The sequence below is a fragment of the Homo sapiens genome, chromosome 18 (assembly GCF_000001405.40).
Source record: "Homo sapiens chromosome 18, GRCh38.p14 Primary Assembly".
Taxonomy (NCBI): Eukaryota; Metazoa; Chordata; class Mammalia; order Primates; family Hominidae; genus Homo; species Homo sapiens.
The window spans coordinates 32,505,061-32,529,487 of NC_000018.10; the positions used below are offsets into that span (position 1 = coordinate 32,505,061).

The 24,427-nt window shown below is 39.6% G+C and overlaps 1 pseudogene across 1 annotated transcript; it reads left to right on the top strand.

Annotated features, from left to right (window-relative positions):
- The first annotated feature begins 6,602 nt into the window (after positions 1-6,602).
- On the top strand, positions 6,603-9,574 carry WBP11P1 (WBP11 pseudogene 1; annotated as a pseudogene). Its single transcript, NR_003558.2, has one exon. The product of NR_003558.2 is annotated as a WBP11 pseudogene 1 (transcript).
- The last annotated feature ends 14,853 nt before the right edge of the window (positions 9,575-24,427 follow it).

Genomic DNA, 24,427 nt, shown 5'->3' on the forward strand with positions numbered 1-24,427 from the left:
GCAGGCCACACCACATACCCAGCAGTAGAAGTAGCTAGATCAGCCTTCGAAAGAGAAAGTCCAACTTATTAGGTGCCCCTGCATAGTATATATATATATATACACATACACACACACATATATAGCTATATATATATATATATATATAAGTATATATATTAGTGTATATATATATATATATTAGTATATATATATATATACTAGATCAGCCTTGGAAAGAGAAAGTCCAACTTATTAGGTGCCCCTGCATAGTATATATATACACACACACACACACACACACACACATAGCTATATATATCTATATCTATATCTATCTATATCTATCTATCTATATATATATAGCCACTGTGGCTACAACTACATGACCAGTGTACAAACATCGGTGAGTCTGGGGAGAGAGCCAACCATCTACTGGCTGACTCTTCCTCTCCACTTAGTTGTTTTGTGCTTCAATTTCAGTGGAGGCTGTCTGGTGGGCATTGATGTGTGACACAAAGATCCTCTCCCTTTGTACCCTCCCCCATTGGTCTATCCCCATATTTCTTCCCTCGGATCTCTTTGTATTCAGTCTTTCAATCTTGCTTCTTTCAGTTCCTGACTAACTAGCCAAACTATTCAGCACTGCCACTGAGTCTATACATATTCTTAGGTTGGCTTCTTCTCCCTCCACCAAAAGCGCTGCTCACCAGGAGGATTTTCCCTTATCACTATTTAGGATCTCCACCCACCCCCCCGCCCGGGGTGCTATAGTGGAATAGCAATCCATTTTTGATTCCTACCAAAATATTGAGCCATCCCATCTACGCAACAACCCTTGATCGACTAGTCATAGAGAACTCTGATAAGGCCACAGGAGCAAGCCGAAGGCAAGGTATATATGCAATAGTCATGGGTTACATGTGGTTCTGGGCTACCTATTCGTGCAGCTTACTTGTGCCCCTTAGGTCTGCCTGGGCTTGACACAAAATGCATCATTTTCATTGTATGACAGATTGCTCATGGGCCTTCGCAGTTTTATGAGTTGGTGGGTCTGACAGCACCCAATTCATAATGGGCACCTCCAGTCAAATACTCCCTTAGTGACCTTAGTGGTCATAGCTTGGTTTGCAACTAAACCTAATAATATGCCAGCAGTTGCTTTTAGCATGGAAGATAGTTCTGTGCTGCACATGCATGGTCTTAATTCAGAACTTTAGGAGGTCCATATTGCAGCTTGCTATTGGAGCTTGCTAAGTACTCCTCATGATTTATTGATCTATCATATATGCCTCTAGTATAATGGGGTATACCTTGTCATATGGCATAAGCAACAAGGTGGTTTGTACTACAGCCTGGCTTATGCTTGTATTATAGTCCCACCAGAACAATCTGGGTCTCTTTCAAAACTGGCAGCCATCTGCATCACTTGGTAAATGGATTGGAACAGTATTCCCAAGTGTAGTATGTCACCTCCAAAACATGAAGAGGCCTACCGAATGCTATGCTTCATGGTGTTAGAAGATGCCAAGTGCAATAACTTGCCCCTTACCTTAGAGGCAATGTCCTGGCATGCCCCAGACTATTGGACTCTTGAAAAAGTCACTGTCGTGGCGTTCTTTAAATTTGTATAGAACTTATATCCCTCCCTCTGGAATACCTGGGTCTTATCAGACCATCCAGAGTACTTACCGCTTCTTACTCATCTGGTCTGATTAACATGATATCAACAATATAACAGATACATGTAATGTTGTCTAGAATGTTCAGATGGTCCAGGTTCATTTGGCCTTTATCATGATAAACGGCAGGAGAGCTGAAGGACAAGACTGCAGATATAATCTGTTGTCCATCTTAGTTAAATCTGAATTGCTTCTGATGCTTCTTTCTCATGGGTATTAAAGGGAATGCATTCAATAGTGCATTCGGTACCAGAAGCTGAGACTGGAGTTTGTCCTTGGATACATTTGTGGTGGTCCTCTGTCTTCTGACCTACCCAGTTTTCTGAGGGCCAGACTGGTGAAATAAATGGGAGTACAATAGTGGGACTAAGACCTCCCATTCTACCCAGGATGTGGCATTGTTTTTAGGTTACTGGGGGATGAATTGGAAGCAGAGATTGTTCCATCATAACTTTAGCTTCCTCCTGCCACGGAATTGATAGGGAAGGAGGTTGTTATTTTTCAGACAGAGAGAAGCCAGTTGTCAGGGTGTTCAGTTAACACTATGAGCAAAACTGAAAGTAATACTTTATTCACTTTCTTTGACAGTATAAACAAGAGGCTAAACAAGAAAGGGTGACAGCTCCCCAACATCCCACTTACCCCTTATGAAATGGCATGGGCAAGGGTAGGATGCATCCATGCTGACTAGGGGATTGTCTCATGCTGGAAGAGCTCTGAATAAAAAGTTCCTGCTGTTTTATGTTCTCTGGGACTGATGAGGAGGAGAGGTAGAAGGCCTAGTGGTAGAAAAGTATAGAATCCTGAGTCAGACTGGAAAAGAGTGTTGAGGGCCCCTCAATAAGGAGGCTTTGTCAGAAGCATCTGAACAATGTCTCACTGGAGGCCTGTCCCAATAAAAAGGCTTCCAAATGGTGGCACCAAGGCAGGAATACAGATAGGCACAAGAGCATGGCTGACCCAGCAGGCCTGAATTCTTGCCTGTAACTCCCTGCAAAGATGGCAATGCAGTAGCTGTGCACTGAGTCTGGTGTGGGGAAAACAGATATCCTCCCCCGCCCCATGCTACCACCCACCCTCCTACCTCCCCAGCCTTTGAAATTGCCTCTGACAGGGCCTGAAAGATTACACATAGGATTTTGACTTGTAGCCAAACTCCCCAGTTATTGTGCCGCCTGGATAATTGATCATGGGGGAAATTGGGTTGCTGCTACACCATGGAAAAAGGAGGACTATGTCTGGAACTCAGAGGGCTTTCTTTTGGTGGGTGGGGCTTGTACTCCTTTTTGTTTAGAATTCCTTTCTAATGGTTTTATTGATAGAAAACTGAGACAGTTTAATAAAGACAAGACCACCAAAGACTTGTGTACATAAGTGAAGTTTTTGGTCTCTACCAGGTGAAGAAGCCCATTCAACTGAGGTGCTGGCAGAGAGTAAGGGGAACATGGAACGGGTAGAGGAGAGAGGCTGTTCTGATGACTAGCCTAAGACACACACACACACACACCAGTAGTAGCTATATGTACACCATGTAATTGCTAAATGTCACCTAACTAGTCATTGCTGAATGACTATCCTAGACACACACACACACACACACACACACACACACCAGGAGTAGTTATGCATATATCACTAGACTAGCCACACACACACACACACACACACACACACTAGTAGTTATGCATACATCATGTAATTGCTAAATGTCAATTTAGCTCAGTTCAATCGTTCAACATGAATTTTGTATTGAGAGAACATATCCTACTCTACCATTCTATTCCAACTGCTTTTGAGATTACATGGCATAAGCATGCAAACCTGCTATGATTTTGTAGCTGATGGGACTTCATGTGTACTGTGGCTTGAGACCTAAAGTTTTCAAGTGAGTGGAGGAGAACGGGATGTGGAGGGGCAGAAAATGGGAACTGTGATAGATAGCTTCCATTTGTTCTAGATCCTCTTGCCATGTTTTTCCAGCATACTGTTTGCTCCAGGAGGCAGTTCTGTATGAATAACATCAAAAATCCTTCTTGCCTTCTGTTTTCTCACTGAGCTTGGCCAATGAGGAGACCAAGTAGGAGAATAAGAGGAGGGAGGGGTATGAGGTGAGGGTATATATTTTTTCAGCTTTCTCTCTGCAGGTTTGCCTTAAGTTGGCTGTGACCCTTGCCCAAGGTCATGGTTCCTCCCAAGGTGGTCTCTTTCCCATAATACTCCCCTTTGGGTTTACAGTAACTGCTCTCTTCCTTCATTCTTCAGGTCTAGGGGTATTAACAGCTCCTAGCCCCTGGGTTCTGTGCTATCCTTTACATTTTTCCTGCACCTTATCCATGGCTGTGTAAATACTTATTTTGGTAAACCTGGCTTGAATTATCCCCATTTACTAAGATGCTTCCCAGCTCACCTTCTTCAATGGAGCCTCCATACTACTATAAGTGATATTTCTGAAAGGCAAATTTTAGCACACCCCTCCTCTTCCTAAAATTCTTAATGGCTCTCTGTCACCTACAGAAAGATAGCATGGCTATCTATTTAAGGACCACTCTCCAGCTACCTGACACCGTTTCCTCCTACACACTCTGCCTTCCAGCGACACTGAACCATGTACAGCCCCCGCAGAGGAGATTCTCTTTTTGCTCATTAAAAGATGAGCTAGAGTTCTTGAATGTCTGTGGTCTGTTTCTTCCTTGGGCTTCAGAGTAACTGGTCTAAATCATTCTCCTTTTGGAGTAAAATCTTCCCTTCTTCCCTTGGATGTCATCATTTCCTCTGAGTTTTAATCCTTACTTCTTTCCCCTGTAGAAAACCTCCCTCACGAGAGGAGGCAAATCTTTTTTTGAATTTCTGAACTGCCATGATACACTGGAGACCCATAGTAACTTAATTATTCCTCCAATTCCAGCTAAACTCTCAAGAAATCTCTGAGTAAATAAATTATCAGATTAGGGTTTTAAGCCCACACTTATTTTAAGATGCAACAAATTAATTAAAAATTAATTTGATCAAAATCCAGAATGTATACAAGATAAGCAAATAGAACCGTGCATACCATCATATATTGTCCACGAGTTAAGCTAGTCTGCTGCTTTTAACACTCTAAAACTGGATAGAAAGCAATAACTGACTTAGGCCAAAATATAGGTAGGCAGCAAGTATAAATTGATACTCTTTTATGCTATAAAACCTAATATACATACAGAAAAAAAAAACCTCCACAAATAGGCTTAATTTTTAGTTCAGGTTATAGTAGCCAATAGAGCTAGAATTGAGGGTTTCTTATAATTGGTTTGTATGAGCCATGCTGCTCTGTGGCCCCAGACTGTGCCACAAAAATATCTGCTGCAAAATGAATGTCTGCTTTTTATATAAAAAAGTGCTGCAAATTATAATATGTGTGTTCGGATACAAAGAAAATTAGCATATCTTTTCTATCTCTTTTTATACAAAAAAACATAAACAGGACCAAAAAACAATAGATACAGTGTCTAAGAGCTCTTTTTAATAATGATTTTTCAATTTTCTCTTTGGAGAAGCTTCTGAGTTCCTCCCTTGTACTTCAATGGGCAAGAGTAGGAAAGAAGCAGAACAGATTATTCATCTTATGTGACTTGGAGTTTGTAGGCTTCACCATAAGCTCATATTGGCTTTTAGTCGAAATACTGAATATAAGAGCAAATATACTTGCACTAGCATCTTTTGTCTTATTTTCATGTGATCTGGACAAAAGTGAAGAAGACTGGATTGCTTGCTGGAATTCAGGGGAAAAATGTCAATTTAGCCCAGTGCAATCATTCAGCATGAATTCTGTATTGAAAGAGCAACATAACCTACTCCACTGTTCAATTCCAAATAATATTTAATTGCTTTCTGAACCTCTTCCAACTTCAATTAGTGTTAATTTAGTGTGTAACTAAATACATTACCCTAAAATAATTAGGAATGGTACAGTGTCCTCCATAACATATGTGATTTGTATTAGCAGCCTTGGTTCAGAAAAGTCTTAAGCTGGGAAACAGACACAAACTACTCAAAATGATCTCTCAACCTCCCCCCTCTCCCGGCTCCGCCAACCCAACCCACAAGACAAACACAGGGACTTAATTAGCAACAGAGTATTTTAGTCATTTATGGGGCACAGGCTCTTATTGGTTATATAGGATATGGTCCAAATGCCTTGGCGTGATATACTAGGCCCTTCATGATCTGACTTCTACTTCATCCTACACTCCAATTCCAGCAATGTGACATGGTTTTCTCCCACACCTCTGTATTTTTGTTTTTGTAGTGCTATCTCCCTAAAATGCCCTCACCATCTAACTGAACCACTTGGCCTCCACCTCCTCACACCTTCATCCCTGCTGGACTGTGGTTTAGCAGTGGCTTTGCTCCTTTGACCAACGCCACAGCTCCCATGGCTACAGCTTTCGCTTGACACTGGAAACAAACCTCCGCATCCTTTTCAGCCTGGGGGTGTTAACTTATTCCCCTTCCTGTTCATCCTTGGGACCTTCACCATCCCTGTGAGCTCCTTTAACCCTGACCTGTCTCGTTAAATAGTCCTTCCAGTAAACCCTTGTCATGTAGCCTTTGAGTGTGCTATTTCTCTCTTGCTGGGACGATGACTAATACAGTTAGGTTCTTTATGACACCACCTCTTTGGGTAGAATGGAAGTTTTGTGCTCTCACTGAACCCACTGCAGACTTATATCATGCAACCAGGCATATTTGATTGCACCATTTATTAAGAAGTTTATGTTCGGCCGGATGCAGTGGCTCACACCTGAAATCTCAGCACTTTGGGAGGCCGAGGTGGGCAGATCACTTGAGGCCAGCAGTTTGAAATCAGCCTGGCCAAAATGGCGAGACCCTATCTCTATTAAAAATGCAAAGACTGGAGAGACAGCGGGACGGAGGAATGGGAAATGACGTAAGGATTGCAGAGGGGCGTGAGGTTTCAAGATGGCGGGGCTGAAGGGTTGACCGCCAGGCTGAATTGAAGGCCCTTACAAAGTGAAAGAGGGCAGGAATCGCACCTCTTGGCTGCTCGCAGTCCTGGGAGCACAGCAGAAGTGTTTTTCTTTTCTTTTCTTTTTCTTTTTTTTTAAATGAACAAGTAAACCATACAAATTGTCAACATGGGAAGGAGATCTGCATCATCCACCAAGAGTGGAAAATTTATGAACCCCACAGACCAAGCCCGAAAGGAAGCCCGGAACAGAAGAACAAAAAACAGCTCATGATGGTTTGAGCTGAAGTTTTAAAGATGAAGGATCCCAAACAGATGATCCGAGACATGGAGAAATTGGATGAAATGGAGTTTAACCCAGTGCAACAGCCACAATTAAATGAGAAAGTACTGAAAGACAAGCGTAAAAATAGCTGTGTGAAACCTTTGAACATATTCTATGACTCTATGAAAAAGAGGATCCAGATATTTAGAAAGAATTGAGAAAGCTAGAAATAGAGTATGAACAGAAGAGGACTCAACCAATATTTGAATGCTGTCGAGAATGCCCAGCACGTGGAAGTGGAGAGTATTCCTTTACCAGATATGCCACATGCTTCTTCTAACATTTTGATCCAGGAAATTCCACTTCCTGGTGCCCAGCCACCCTCCATCCTTAAGAAACCCTCAGCCTGTGGACCTCCAACTCAGGCAGTTTCTATCCTTCTCTTCTTGGGACGTGGTGTTCCACATTTGCCTCCTGGCAGAAAACCTCTTGGCCCTCCCCCTGGTCCACCCCCTCCTCAAGTCGTGCAGATGTATGGCCGTAAAGTGGGTGTTGCCCTAGATCTTCCCCCTCCTAGGTGAGATGAAGGCATGGTACATAGTCCTGAAATTGCCCAGCGAGGTCATGATGATGATGTTTTTAGCACCAGTGAAGATGATGGCTATCCTGAGGACGTGGATCAAGATAAGCATGATGACAGTACTGATGACAGTGACACCGACGGATCAGATTGAGAAAGTGTGCGCCATGATGATGGTGGGAGAGACAACAATGAAAAAAAGAAGTCAGGTCTGAGTGTACGGTTTGCAGATATGCCTGGAAAATCAAGGAAGAAAAAAACCATGAAGGAACTGACTCCTCTTCAAGCCACGATGCTTCGTATGGCAGGTCAAGAAATCCCTGAGGAGGGACGGGAAGTAGAGGAATTTTCAGAGGACAATGATGAAGATGATTCTGATGACTCTAAAGCAGAAAAACAATCACAAAAACACAATCAAGAGGAACTGCATTCTGATGGCACATCCACTGCTTCTTCACAGCAGCAGGCTCCCCGGCAGTCTGTTCCTCCTTCTCAGGTACAAGCACCTCCCATGCTTCACCATTACGGCCTCCTAGGCCACCTATGAACCTTCCCCCTGGACCACCTCCAGGAGCTCCTCCTGAGACCACCTGGAATGCCAGGACTCGGCCTTTACCCTGACTTTTACCTCCACGACCACCGACTTTTACTACCTCCCCCACGTCTACCTCCAAGTCTGCCCCCTGGTCCCCCTCCTCGGGAACCCCCACCAAGGATACCTCCCCCTGCACCTCCAGGTATTCCTGGAGTTTGTAGGCTTCACCATAAGCTCATTTTGGCTTTTAGTCCAAATACCAAATACAAGAGCAAATATACTTGCTAATGCAAGATATTTTGTCCTGGCACGATGCACCCAGCTTTGGTACCTCCCCTTGGGATCTGCCCCCCTGGGCTTTTCCCACCAGCTCCCTTGCTGAACCCTGAGATTTTAAGTGCCCCACCCGGCTTGATTCAGCGATCCAAGGTAGATAATACAAGTGCAGCCACCGTTGAGAAGAAAGCCACAGCAACCGTCACTGCCAAACCACAGATCACTAATCCCAAGGCAGAGATTACTCGATTTGTGCCCAGTGCATTGAGAGTACGTCGGGAGAATAAAAGGGCTACTGCTGCTTCCCAAAGAAAGTCAGAGGATAATTCTGCTGTGCCTCTTGCCAAAGCAGCACCCAAATCTGGTCCTTCTGTTCCTGTCTCAGTACAAACTAAGGATGATGTCTATGAGGATTTCATGAAAGAGATGGAAGGGCTACTGTGACAGCTTTTGATGCCAGAACAGGCCTCTGTTCACAACAGTAGCCCATGGAGAAAGAGGCTCTTATTAAACTTAGATGAAAGAGCTGCTTCCATTGTCAGGGTATTTTCTAATTTCAGTTCAAGGAATATCCTAAAATTTAGCCTTGTTCAGAATTTGCTGCACATTAAAGAGGGTATTTCATTCAGAATAGATAAGTTATTGAAGCAGTGCTGCTAACATCCATTCCCTTTCACACCACCATTTTCACCCTGCTTCTTCCCCTTTGGAAATTTGTGATCGGGGGATCTTAGTTGCTTATTTGTTTTGACTCTATTCTTATGTGCTGTGGGCACTGGAGTAGAGATTTCTGAAAAGCCAGTTTATTTCACCTTGCCTTTTGTGTTTGGGTTATTTGTAATGTTTTCCTGTAAATATTTTATAATATTTTGCTTGTAATGAAATAGATCACAATGTCATTTCCTAATACAAGGCAGGATATGTGGGAAGAAAATATACAATTCTTTGATTAAAATTATTTCCAACTGACATATATACATATATGTATATATATGTTATAGGCCAGGTGTGGTGTTGAGCACCTGTAGTCCCATTTACTTAGGAGGCTGAGGCATAAGAATCACTTGAACCTGGGAGGCCAAGGTTACAGTGAGCCAAGATGGTGCCATTGCACTCCAGTCTGGGGGATAGAGCCAGACCCTGTTCAAAAAAATAAAAAAGTTTATTTTTGTCTAGAGTCAAATGAATGCCTCTCACTACCAACAGGGTGGAGCAGTTCCTGATGTATATTTAGTCCTCAGCAAATATTTTTTAATAAATTGATGAATATCATAAATATTATTATTCACAATAACATTTTTCTTAATATTTTTATGTGGCAGTTTTCTTACATACATTATCTCATTTAACACAATAATTCTGTAAGGTGGGATTAACATTCTTGTGTTATAAATGAGTAAACTGAAATTTAGAGAGTATACATAGTTGGTCCAAGTCATAGTAAATGAAAGAATAAACCTAGGTCTTTTGAGTGGGTGTATTTTGCTAATGTTTTCTAAGATTTCCTAGTCCCATCTTGAACCTCATTCAGGTACAAATATCTGAGTATTAATGACACTAACATGGTCATTCACAAAGTATAAGATGTAAATTTTGTGGTATTATGTGCAGATTTTGAAAGATTTAATAGGAGAAACTTTACACAGTTTATGCATTTGTTGATATGTCAAACTAATTACCTAATTTTTATTTGGAAATGAGCTAATTCCTTTGCCAATGGGGTGGGATCCATAAAGGAGTGGGAGGGGCTGGGGAACCAGTAATAATACAGTTGGAACAGATTTCAATCATCCATTCACAGCAGAAAACCACACACCTTAGACCCATGCCAAGATTTACCAAACCATCAATGCACTTAAAAGGTTTACTCCTTGATCATTTGATAGTGAAACACATGGTTTATGGGGTTCATATTATATACTAATCTCTTTTGTTATCATTTAAATAAAAATTCTGGAGCCTTCTTACTGCAGGCCAGCTCTGCACCTGGTCTATGCTCCATATGTTTGCCCTCTCACCAAAAGACTCATACTGATGTTTAAAATGCCAAGAATAGAAAAGTGCCACATATCACTTATCAAGTGATATGGTTTGGCTGTGTCCCCACCCAAATCTCATCTTGAATTCCCACGTGTTGTGGGAGGGAACCAGTGGGAGGTAATCAAATCATGGGCTGAGGTCTCCCCTGCTGTTCTCCTGGTAGTAAATAAGTCTCACGAGATCTGATGGTTTTTAAAAGGGTGGTTTCTCTACACAAGCTCTCTTCTCTTTTCTGCCGCTATGTGAGACGTGCCTTTTACCTTCCCAGGATTGTGAGGCCTCCCCAGCCACGTGGAACTGTAAGTCCAAAAAACCTCTTTCTTTTGTAAATTGCCCAGTCTCAGGTATGTCTTTATCAGCTGTGTGAAAACAAACTAATACATCAAGGGATCATTTCCAGTGAAGATTATTGATTGCTTGCTTGATTGAGACAGGATCTCACTCTGTCGCCCAGGCTGGAGTGCAATGGTGTGATCATGGCTTACTGCAGCGTTAAACTCCTAAGCTCAAGCAATCCTCCCATCTCAGACTCCCAATTAGTTGGAATTACAGGTGCACACCACTATGCCCAGCTAATTTTTTAATTTTTTGTAGAGATGAGATCTCACTATGTTGCCCAGGGTGGTCTTGATCTCTTGGCTTCAAATGATCCTCCCATCTTGGCCTCTCAAAGTGATGGAATAAGTCACCTTGCCTGGCCCAGTGCAAATTTTAAAAGGAGCGAAACAGAGAAATTAGACATTTCCTGACTTTGAGGACTTTTTTTTTTGAGTGTCCTGATTATGACAAACAAGGCCTTCATTTTGGATTAAATGGAATTATCATGGTATAACCTTTCTAAATACATCTATTTGTTCTTCAAAATGTGAGGCAATTGGACATTTTCATCTATTTCTTCAATACATTTTTGTCACGGGTGAGTGATGACTAGCTCGGCCAGTGGTGCAGGGGTAATAGAATTTACCACGGCAGTTGTAGGTAAAGAACGCAGATTTATTAGAGAAAGTAGGAAAATATCTTGTGAGAAGGCAATGGGCAGACCAGCAGAAGAGAGGCTGACTGCAAGGAAACAAAGGCTTGCTGGAGATTTTATAGGATGGTTCTTGGGTTGATTGATAATGCCAAAGCAGCAGAGAGCTTAAATGGCATTCTTCTGTCAGCCGAGGCATTTGATAAATTGAGGCATTTGAGGGTAAGCAGGAAGTTTGTGAGTTATGTATGTTATCTGTGCAGGAGGACCATCTATCCTGGGCCATAAAGGAAAGCAGACCTATAGCTCATCTCCTTCCTCTTTTGTTTATATGTCCTGGACCATGAAGAAAGGCAGACTTATAGCTTATTTGCTTTATCTCTTTACTTTCCCTTGCTACCTCCACCAGCCTAACTCCTTTTCCCTAATTAGGGCTCCTCAATATTTACTGAGCACCTACTACAGACTAGCTGTTCCTACTGCGTGGGAATCATCACTGAACAAATCAAAGGTCCCTATTCTTGAGAATCTGTGCATTTTCATGAAAATGTATTCTGTACTTATGGAAAAGTGGAAGGAAGAGTTTTCAGACACATAGGCTGCCTTAAATTTTATTCTCCAATTCCAAAAAATTTAGAAGAGCACAGAAATTCTTACAAAATAACTTAATATTTAGAGTTAACAGATGATGCATACAAGTTGTCAGGCATGTTTTAGATACATTAATTTAATCCTTACGAAAACTCTATGACACTACTTTCAATCTCATAGACAAGGAAACTGAGGCAAAGAGAAGTAAAAAAACTCACCCAATGTCATACAAATTTTCCTGCAGCAGAATCTGGACTTGAACCTGGTTCATTCATCCTCATTGTCTTTGTTCTAATGCACCGCAGGATTCTGTTTTGCTGTAATTGGCCTTTAGTCAAAGTCTCGCAGAGGGCCCACACCTGTAATCCCAGCAATTTGGGAGGTCGAGGTGGGAGGATTGCTTGAAGCCAGGAGTTGAAGACCAGCCTAGGCAACATAATGAAACCCTTGTCTCTACAAAAAATTAGCTGGGTGTAGCGGTGCACACCTGTGGTCCCAGCTACTCAGGAGATTAAGGCAGGAGGACTGCTTGAGCCCAGGAGGTTGAGGCAGCAATGAGCTGTGATTGTGCCACTGCACTCTAGATGAGGCAACAGAGTGAGAGAGTGACAGTCTTTCTCAAAAAAAAAAAAAAAAAAAAAGACGCAGAAGATTTGAAATGGATTGAGACTCGTAAACTCATTTGATAAGATATCTTGTGCATTTTAGGAATTCTCCCAAGTGGTCCTGGCTCTTCTTGAAAACTATACAGAAAAATACTATTTCTTCACATGACAAATCCCTTCGATTATCAGCAGAAAGCCATTATTGCCCTTCTCCTTTCCCCTCTCCCAGTACTTTTAATGATTCTTTTTTTTCCCTCTCTCTCCTTTTTAGGTTAAACAACTTCTTATTCCACAACTATCTAGAAGTAAAAATTACTATAAATTGAATGATGAAAACTTCAGGTCATTCCTTTCAAAGTCCTTTCCAGTGCTGCATGGAGAAAAAACGCAATCTACAACCACAACAATAAATGAGGTATGAGATTTAATTCTGGATATTACAGGGAGGCTTAATGAAGCAGAGAAGTGGATTTCCGGAGAAGGAGAGATTAAAGTCTGGAAAAGAAGTATACCTGTCTGGGGATTAAAAAACAAACAACTTTGAACGGTCAAGGAACCTGGAAACCAAGCTCATAAAAGGTAACATCTGTGCCCTTAAACTAACTTAAGGTGAGAAAATTTAGGTGAGAAAGAAATTATTTAAATAAAATGTTGCCATAAAAAATCATTTGCCTTGAAAAAATAATTTTCATGCTGAGGATCCAAGGACTCATTATTAGGGAAATTGTAGCAGAAGTAGATCTGGTGTATAGTTCAGACTCTCCAGAGGATAGTTACTTCTGATAAAATGGTAAGTGTGAAAGCACATTAAAAAGTTAAAAATAACTATATAACAACTGTATTTTTGTTTCATGAAAATTTTAATTTTGGTGAAATAAAAAGTACCTTTGGCAGCACATAACAGGACTAATAAAATGTGGAAGCCATTTATTTCAAACCCACTTTAATTAGAGTTTAAAAGTTACTTAGATAAACCTGAAATTATGGGTTAAAATGGGGTAAAAAGTGTGTCTAAAAATTTTTCAAATGTTAAAAAACCCAAACTTAATACACAAGAAACCCCAAGGAGACAATAAGAAAATCTAATGGCTATCTTATTCTTCCAAACTTAATCTTAACATGTATGTTGTGGGTACAATAAATTAAGGCTCCATATAATGAGGTTTTAATTTATTTATAAGATATTTTTAAATGATTACAATCTGGTAAATAATACATTGGATGTGTATTCACTAATCTAGAGATGAGGGGCAAAGGTAATCTCTTCAGGTTAGGTTTGTTTGGCTATAATATGTGTTTCTGAAATGAGAATTAGCAAAATTAGCTCATATGGGATGGACAAATTGAGAAATAATGTGAATAAAATAGTTTATCTGTTTTTCAAGCACGTTAATGCTTTGCACTTTCAAGTACAGTAACAGCAGCAAATTGGAAAGTAAGTGCAGGGTTGAAAGCAGCAAGCCATAGAGGAGCCCAGTTTTGTATTTTCACACTCAGATTTCCGCTTCCTTGTTTGGCCCGGCGCTCTGTCTTGGATGTGCCTGTTGAGAGTGATACTCTCAGATCTTTATTCAGTTTTCTCTGCTCTATCATTTAGCAACCTCAACTTTCCTTATGTCCACTTCTGTCAAGCTACTATCATTTTTTCTTAAGGTAATGTCTTATATATTCCGTAGCATTGTTTTGTTTATTTAAAAATTTAGCATGTCTCTTTAACTGTATAATGTTTTCTTAAAGACCGTTATTGATCCTATTAGTTCTTTGACTGCAAAGTTTCGAGTTTACTGCTCCTAATTCCATTTTCCCCATGCACTTTGTCGTATTTAGTGCACAGTTTTGGAGGATGTGAGATTTTTCAGGAAATGCTTGTAACTTCTAATATGGTATGTCCATAAACTTATGACCCTGTTCAGATAGTGGTTGCCATGTATTTAGCAAATCTTCCTGAGAAGTCTCAAGTATACAGTAATGAGTTATCAATTGTTGGACACTAAATCTCAAAAAAGACAAATCCAGCCATAAAAATAGTGTGTCAGAGCAAATATAAACCAAATTATCAGGATGCAAATATATTATTACTTTGATATGGAGAGAATAATTGTTTTCGTATTCAAATTCATCTTATAAATACTATGTGGTTGATAGTTATATTGAAGAAATAATTAACAAATTTAGGTTTGTATAACTCTATAGCCTAAATCAGAAAAAGCATGTTCATCTGTTTTTAAATACACACACATTAAACCATTAAATGATGACTTTGTATTTAACAGGACAACTGATTTCTAGTTCTTGACAAGATAACTTACTTTTTACTAGAATCATACTAACATCTTCTTTAAGGAAGAGTAGTAGTAATTTAAGAAAGCCTGTGTTTAGTAACAAATTTAGAAAATCTAAGACATTTTGAGTTCACAGAAAAGAAAATAAAGATTATTTAGAAAAGAAACTTGTAGACTTTATGATACTAAGAAAGAATGCATTAATAAAATGTAATTAATTATTTCACAATTAACTTCCTTAAGCCTGTTTTTCATCTGTAAATGAGGAGAATAATGATAATAGCTACCTAAAGCATTATTAGGAGGATTAAATGAGATAATATTGAGCATTGTAAAGCACTTATCACAGTGGCTGGTCCATAGTAAATCTTCATTTAAAAGTTGGTAATTATTCTAATTGGCAATTAAAAATCCCATTGTTTAGAATGGAGATACATTAATCAATCCTGAGATTTTAATATTTGAGTCATAGACTATTTTTTGCTACTACAAGGTGTCACTCTTTAAATTTTCTCTCTGAAAATGATGACTATTTTATAAAGCCAAAATCCACAACAATGCATGGAGCACCGGGTAAGGCAGTGAACTAAATGTTAATCTGGAGACAAATAAATGTAAGATACAATCCCTGCAATCAAAGTTTACAACCAGATCGGACAAAGAAGACGTAAGAAAGTAACTGTTTGGTTTTTCTGCAATGCATTAGTTACTTACATGGTACTGATACTCAGAGAATAGTTTTTACCCTTTCCCCAAGTAAAAATTAACCCTCTCTTAAGCTCTTTATCAAGGTTAGCTTAAGTGGTATTATTGTATATAAACATATCACATACTGCAGAAGCTCCCAAATCTTAATGAGTTAGCAAGGACTTAATGTTAAGAAAAAAGATAGTTAGAAGATACTGTCTGTCATTACAACATATTAAATGCCAAAGACAAAAAGACGTAAAAAGCCTCAAGCAAAAAAAGATTTCATAGGCATTCTGATATCTTTCACCTGTATTATTGCAAAATTCTGAGTTAGTCTTACCACTTTTAATCTCTTCTGATTCCAGTTCATCTTACACATATCTGCTTAAAATAGGTAGTTTTCTCTTTTGCAAGAATATGAAGCAATTTTCTGGTCAGGATCATATCAGACTTAAGGGCTTTAGGCTTACAATCATGACATCTTATTAAACGGTAAACCACTCTTCTATCTTGTCCTACACTTGAACAAATCTAGGCTCAATGCCATGGCCTACTAAATTTAAAAAATCCATGAAAAAAGCAAAACGAGGCCAGGCATGGTGGCTCATGCCTGTAATCTCAGCACTTTGGGAGGCTGAGGCAGGCGGATCATGAAGTCAGGAGTTCGAGACCATCCTGGCCAACATGGTGAAACCTCATCTCTACTAAAAATACAAAAATTGGCGGGGCGTGGTTGCGGGCACCTGTAACCCCAGCTACTCAGGAGGCTGAGGCAAGAGAATCGCTTGAACCAGGGAGGCAGAGTTTGCAGTGAGCTGAGATCGTGCCACTGTACTCCAGCTTGGGTGACAGAGCGAAACTCCATCTCAGCACATTGGGAGGCTGAGGTGGGCAGATTGCTTGAGCAAGAGTTCAAGGCCAGCCTGGGCAACATGGCAAAACCCCATCTCTACAAAAAAATACAAAAATTAGCCGGGTATGGTGATGTGTGCCTCTGCTCCCAGCTGTTCCAGAGCCTGAGGCAGAAAGATTGCTTGAGCCCAGGAGCTTGAGGCTGCAATGAGCTGAGATGGTGCCATTTTACTCCCACCTGTGTCACAAAGTGAGATCCTGTCTACAGAAAAAAAAAAAAGTATATTCTTTACATATACAGGATGAACTGATAGATTTTTATTTTATACTTTGGGAATAATCCTCTACTATTTTATTTATTTTGTTGCTCAAATGGTTCCAGCTTTGGCCACTGGGAGCCCTTTCAGCTGGCTCCTGTTCCCCTTTCATGTATCCCCATCACTGTGGTTTTCTTTTTCAGCACTTCCTTCTTTTTTGGAGATGCAAGACATTCCAGAGTCATCTTGTAGATTTCCTGCCCCAATCTTAGAATCAGCCATTACTCGAAGTAGCCTTGGCCTCTTTTATAAGAGAATGGTATTAGAAACCAAGACTTGGGTGCTAGGTGTGCTTGTTACTACTGGAGTGTCATTGCATTTATGCCCTCTCAGCTGATAGAGAAAGAAAATATATGTATGAGTATATAAATATGTATAAATGCAAACCTATGTATATGCATTAGCTTGCTAGGGTTGCTGTAACAACCTATTGTAAAAACACAATAGATTGGGTGGCTTAAACAACAGAAATTTCTCACAATTCTGGAGACTGGAAGTCTGAGATCAAGGTGTTAGCAAGATTGATTTCTTCTGGGGGCTTTCTCCTTGGCTTGCAGATGTTCACCTTCTCTGTGTCCTTGCATGGTTTTTCCTGTGTGTGTGTCTGTCCTAATCTCTTCTTCTTACAAAGACACCAGCCATGCTGGATTAGTTCCCACCCACATAACCTCATTTTACCTTAATTACCCCCTTAAAGGCCTTATCTCCACATACAGCCACATTCTGAGGTACTGGGGATTAGGACTTCAACATATGAATTTATGTGGTTGGGGGAGACAAAATTCAGCTCATAACAGTACACATGTCTATAAATATTTCTAAATGTAACCATTTATCTATATTAAGCTAAACAGGAGTTCATATTGAGGTCTCCGTCTTAAAATTATTTTAAAAATCCTTTTTAGCCAGGCACTGTGGCTTAAAAATTATTTTAAAAATCCTTTTTAGCCAGGCACCTGTAATCCTAGCACTTTTGGAGGCAGAGGTGGGCGGATCACTTGAGGTCAGGAGTTCGAGACCAGCCTGGCTAACATGGTGAAATCCCATCTCCACTAAAAATACAAAAATTAGCTGGGCATGGTGGCAGGTGCCTGTAATCCCAGCTACTTGGGAGGCTGAGGCAGGAGAGTTGCTTGAACCTGGTGGAGGTTGCAGCAAGCTGATATTGCGCCACTGCACTCCAGCTTGGGCAACAGAGTGAGAGTCCATCTCAAAAAACAAAAACCAAAAACCTTTTATGTCTTAAAATAATTATAGATTCACAGGAAGTTCCAGAAATAGTACAGAGAAGTTCAGTGTACCTTCACCTACTTTCTCCTGATGGTTACATTTTATAGGAAATTGACATTGGTAAAATGTGTGTGTATAGCTCTGTGACATTTCAACACGTGTTGATTCATGTGACCACCAGAAAAAGATGCAGAACTATTCCATCAATACCAAGATCTTCTTCCTGCCACCCCCTTATAGTCACATTCATCTCCCTACCCCCTCCCTTGTCATGATCCCTAAACAGTAATTCTCAACTACTAATCTCTTTTCCATGTTTAGAATCTTGTTTTGAGAACATTATATGAATGGAATCATACAGTATGTGACCTTTTAAGAGTGAATTTTTTCACTCAGAGATCCATACAAATGTCATGTTTCAACAGTTTGTCTTTCTGTATACAACCACCTCCCCCCTACAAAAAAAAAAAACACCACAGTTTAGAATTTTTTTTTTTTGAGGCAGGGTCTCACTGTGTCACGCAGGATCATAGCCCACAGCAGGTTTGCACTCCTGGGCTCAAGTGATCCTCTTGCCTCAGCTTCCAGAGTAGCTGGGACTATAGGCACACACCTAATTTTAAAAATTATTTTGTAGAGATGGGGTCTTGCTATGTTGCCCAGGCTGGTCTTGAACTCCTGGGCTCAAGTGATCCTCCTGATTTGGCCTCTCAAGGTGCTGGAATTACAGCCCTGAGACACCATGCCTGGCCAGTTTAGAAAATTTTGAGGAGGCAAGAGAGGTTCCATCTTCTATACATGTGTTGTTATTCTACCCCTGAAAATGAAATAGTAGATCTTTAATCTACTATTTCCATGAAAAAATGGCTTCTTTCTAGTATATGAGCATGTGGCAGGAGGTAGCTGAGTAGGGACCCATTCGAAGTTCTATCCTATTAATTCTTCTTCCAATAGAGGGTGACATTTGGGTAAATGATAAAACATATCAGTTCTCTCCCAAAACCTCTACCCAAATAAGTCTACTTCTGATACTTTTCAGATACTGTTTCAAATAGAATCATGAAGCCTATATCTGAAAATTAAGAATGAAAGTTGTCTTATAGCTCAAATAATTTCCCTCTTAAACTACATTTTATAAATGTGTTTCAGAAAAACAAGGCTATTATTGTTTTATTGTCACATCTTCATTTTATCATCCATTTATCACTATTTATTGTGTTCCCATATCACTGTTGTAAGCACTGTTGATAGTTGTAAAGAACTGCAAAAATATAGTTCCTGCCATTGAAGCTCTATAGTATAAGAAGATACACAGAACAACCAGAAATAACACAAATGATGAAAACTAGTGATTTCAAATTGTTTGGTCTCAGAAACTCTTTGCACTCTTAAAATTATTAAAGACCCCCAAAAGCTTTTGTTTATATGGGTTATATCTATTTATACATATATAAAAATATATATATACTATATATATAGTATAAAAAGTGAAATTAGAAATTTTAGTATACAAGCATATATTCCGTTAGTAATGATGTCCATATGTATCATGTAGACTTGGGAAAGAATGAGGGTGAAAAGGCCAGTTGTATCTTCAAATTATTATGAAAATTGTTTTGACTTCACAGATTCCCTTAAAAAGTTATTGAGACACATGCATCCTCAGACCACACTCTGAGAATCTCTGGTGTAAGAATGCAAGTGTATTCATCATCAAACATAGATTTTAAAGAGCTCTAGGAGAGAATGACATGAATTTCATATGAAGTAAAAATACAAAGATCTTAGGAGGCAGAGGCAGAAATCAGAAATGTGCAAAGCATATGCCATTTAAAGAAATGCTAGCAAGCATTTCTGCTAGCATTTCTTCAAATGAAATGAAATTTCTGATTATGATATGCCAATCACTCTATAGATTCACTATTATGTAATATAGCTTTACTTCATGGCTTATATTTGAAATAATTATGTCATACTTCTCAAAATTTATCCCAGAGAAATAAAAGTTTATGTCTTCACAAAAACCTGGATATTAACATTCATAGCAGCTTTATTTGTAATTTTTCAAAACTGGAAATGACAAAGTGTGTCATAAATGGTTAACTGTGGATCACCCACGTCATGGAATATTACATAGAAATAACAAAGGAACAACTAGTGAGTTAATGGTAATAAAGAGGGAATAATTTATCCATTAAAAATGAAACATATTAATTTAGCTCTTATTTTGCACTGCATGCTGTACTAAGTTTGTGGAACATAAAGACAAAAACCGTGGTTTTTACCACAAATAGATTCATAGTTTTATCCTGGTTTAGTTTTTAAATTTCAAAATGAAGCCTTAAGTCCCTGCAACTCCTTGGTTCTACCCTCAAAGCAAAATGTTTTTCCTGGGAAATTTGCTCTTTTTCTAATTTAACTAAAAAGTGGTCACTAGTCCTCTAATCCTCCAAAATAATTTAATTTGTAAATAACAAAATGGCTGAACAATTCTGAATAAGAACATTTAGATGACCCTATCCTAGTTGCTGAGATCACATTTATACCAACCAAAGATAGTGATAAGACACTTTGGGGTCTTGGCCTATTTGAAATCATAACAAAGACCATTTTCCATTATTTATAAGGATATATTTTTTCTTTATAAAGTGAAGATAAAAATATATTTATATATGATTTTTAAAATGCTGTATCTCCAATCTTATAACTAGGGGCCCAAGTGGAAAAACTAGTTTGACAATGTTCATTTGACCTTTAAGATATAGAATTTCTCATCTTTATTGTACAAGTTAGTTCATTTCTTTGCAAGCCATGTATGGCCCATCTCCTTTCTCCTGTTACAGTTCTTGCTTTTTAATTAGGCTGTGCATGCTAATGCATAGCTGATTGTAGGGGAACATTTTAAGTTTTATTTTAACTGCAATAAAAATAGTCTTGCACTAAATATTTGCAAAGGTCAAAATTTTTACACTTGAAAAGCACTCCTACAGAGAATAAAAGAATATAATTGAATAGCTTTTCATATACCTAGCACATGGTAGATACTCAGTAAATATGTGTCGAGTGAATGAAACATTGACCGTATGTTGACGTTCTCTTACGATATGTTTAGTTAATTCAGTTAAACATTTATTGTGTGTATTCTTTGTACCAGGCATAGTGCAGAGGATTAAAAAGTTAATAGGATGAGTTTGCCTTAAAATACTTCAGAGTCCAGAGGAGAAGACCTACTATTTCTAAATATTAGGTTGGTGCAAAAGTAATTGCAAAAACTGTAATTACTTTTGCACCAACCTAATGGATATTTTCAATATAATGTGATGGTAACAACAATAGTGACATATATACTTTGTGAACAAAAATTTGGGGGTTGCTTATCCAGACTCAGGGGATCAGGGATGGCTTCAAAATACCTACCTGAACAACAAAGGAATTAATGTCAGTTGATGAAGAAAAGGGGAAGACCAGTGTGGGCACAGAGAGTGCAAGAGTAAAGACACAGAAAAGGAAGCTGTAGAAGAAGCATCAGCAAAAATGGAGGACTGGGAAGGGAAAACCTGGAGGTGGAAAGGCCAGTGAGCAACTTGAACATCCATTTTGTTGGTCTGGAATGGACATGTAGGGGAATGGCAAGAAAGGGGCAGACAGGTCTAAACTTCTCTACTCTTCTTCCTTGAGAGGGACTTCAACACCTGTAGATGACCTTAGGGTTGGCTATTAAATCCATTGGGGTCATTGAAGAAGGAACAATATTCAAAGGAAATGTTAAGGATACACGTGAACCCCTGGGGGCATAGGCCCTTTCTCTCATCTGTGTTTATCTACCCCCATGTAGAAGCCATACTAAGATCAAAATCAAAGATCCAACTGAGACCCACTTTTCTGATGGTAGATCGTCTTCTCTGGGTTGCTTTCCTTTTGGTTTGTCTTCCTCTTGTCTTTCTTGGTGGCTGCTTTCTGCTGTTTTCTGCTATCAGTCTTGATAATTGTCTTATTGGGTACAGCAAGAAACACTTGGGCAGAAACACCTCCCCCAAACAGAGCAATCTGGTGGAGTCTAGGGGAAAGTGGGTGGAATAAACTGTTTCAACTTTTAATCTAGGCCTAAATGTAGATACAAGAACTGATTTTCCAATATAGGTCAGCCAAGATCACTACGTAAGAGAATCCGTGGATATTTGGGACCTAGCTACTGGTGATATATGTGTAACAGGGCCTGGATCCTCATGCCCCACTCCTCCCAACACTCTTGAAAAAAAAAAAAAAGCAAATTTTCCCTCCTTTTCCCCTAGGAGTGTTGGTTAACCTGGATAGGTCCATGTTCATTAGAAGAGCCAGAAAGAAGGCAGACGAAGTCATGTAGTTTTCATGGTGACAAGGTCTAAGCAATGGTTGTGTGATTATGTGGCTGGAGTGAAGAGGAAGTAAAGGTCATTGGATCTGAGGAGGTAAAAAAAAATGAACCAAAAAAAACTATATCCAGTTAGGATGTTAAATGGGTTTCTCGTGTATAGTTACTGGAGTGGAGATGAAATCTGGTTTCCAATCACTACAGTCCTCATTAGATTTGTTAGAATCATCTGGGGAGAGTGCCAGGAAGGTTTAGGGAGGTAGGAAAATGGAACGTTTCAGCCTATTCCAGGCTGGATACTTTTTAAAAAACTGTAGGTGGTGGTCCTGTGCATTTGTAGGATATTTTTGCAGCATTCCTGGCCTCTACACATAGATGCCAGTAGCATCTTCCCCTCACCCTCATTTGTGACAACTACCCTCATTTGTGACAAGTATACAATATTGCCCTGGTTGAAAACTGCTAATGTACACCTGAATATCATGTTCCCATTATATCATCCAATTTAATATGTACAATAATGATCTGGTTTCCTAGTAAATCTCACTTTTTTTTTTTTTTTTTTTTTTTTTGAGACAGAGTCTTGCTCTGTCACCAGGCTGGAGTGCAGTGGCAGGATCTCGGCTTACTGCAAGCTCTGCCTCCCAGGTTCAAGTGATTCTCCTGCCTCAGCCTCCCAGGTAGCTGGGACTACAGGCGCGCACCACCACGCCCAGAAAATTTTTATATTTTTATTAAAGATGGGGTTTCACCTTGTTGGCCAGGATGGTCTTGATCTCTTGACCTCGTGATCCGCCCGCCTTGGCCTCCCAAAGTGCTGGGATTACAGGCATGAGCCACTGTGCCTGGCCTGTTATTTTTTTGAGAGGACGTCTCGCTCTGTCTCTGAAGCTGGAGTACAGTGGCGCAATCTTGGCTCACTGCAACCTCCGCCTCCCTGGTTCAAACAATTCTCCCTGCCTCAGCCTCCCAAGTAGCTGGTATTACAGGCACTCGCCACCATACCCAGCTAATTTTTGTATTTTCAGTAGAGACAGGGTTTCGCCATGTTGGCCAGGCTGGTCTTGAACTCCAGGACTCAAGTGATCTGCCTGCCTCAGCCTCCCAAAGTGCTGGGATTACAGGCATGAGGCCCCACGCCTGGCCTCAATCCCACTTTTTACTTAAATTGAAGCTAGAAAATCTACTTCAGTTGTTTGTTAGTTTTTGGCGGGAGGGAAGTGTGGGCAGTTAACATCTGTATTCTAAGAGCTTAAGACATTTTACTAACTTGCAACTTGGGCTAGTAACTTTAATTAGACTCTCTAAATATCTGTACAATGGACTAACATTTACTATAATAATGAAAGCAATGAAGGAAACTGAGAAAGGAAGGAGACAAATTAGACCAGAATGGTTTAAGTGCTCAAAATCTTAACTTTAGGGACAAATGTTGGGGTTGTAGGGGATGGATGAAGAGGGGAAGAAGAGCTCAGTTCTTGCTCATGGGTCATTTTGCTTCTCCTTGCGTAACGACTAATATCTATCAGCTTAATCCTGAGTCTTTAAAAGGGTGCTCTGGCCCTCTTGAGGCTTCAGTTCATCCCTGCTTCTCACCATGTATTACTATGATCAGGGATATGAACATTAGACTATGGACCCTGCCCAAGCCCACTTGTGCATTACCTATAAAGATGCCAGGCATCCCTAGCTTTCAGAGTTAAGAAGATCTAACTTTACTATCAGAACTTGAGTGATTTGCTGACAACAGCTCTGGTACAAACAGTTTTCAACAGCAGTTATTTTACTGAGCTAAACTTTCTTAACATATCAGATCATTACTCTTAAGTACAAATACATAGTCTTAGTGAAGTAACGGGGCATAGCTTGTATTGGATTTTGATAGTTCTGGCATTTGGTTGAGCAGCAACTTGACCCTTAGTTAATTAGTCTGACAATTCCTGCTGGCTGTTTAATCAAAATACTGCAACTTTCAACTTCATCAGTAATTTAGTTCATTTGTCTTTATTATGATTCCATGATTACTTCTGGTTAGAACACTAGTATTTTTGAGAATTGTAATGTTAGTGATGAATGGCCGTAATAACGTGTGTATGTAAAGAATATGCATTAATATATCTACAATAATATGTGCTTTTAAAATGAATTTCTTTGAAGGAAAGAAGATAGCTTTCTGTTCCTCTAATACTGAAACTATCTTTCCTATATTTTGA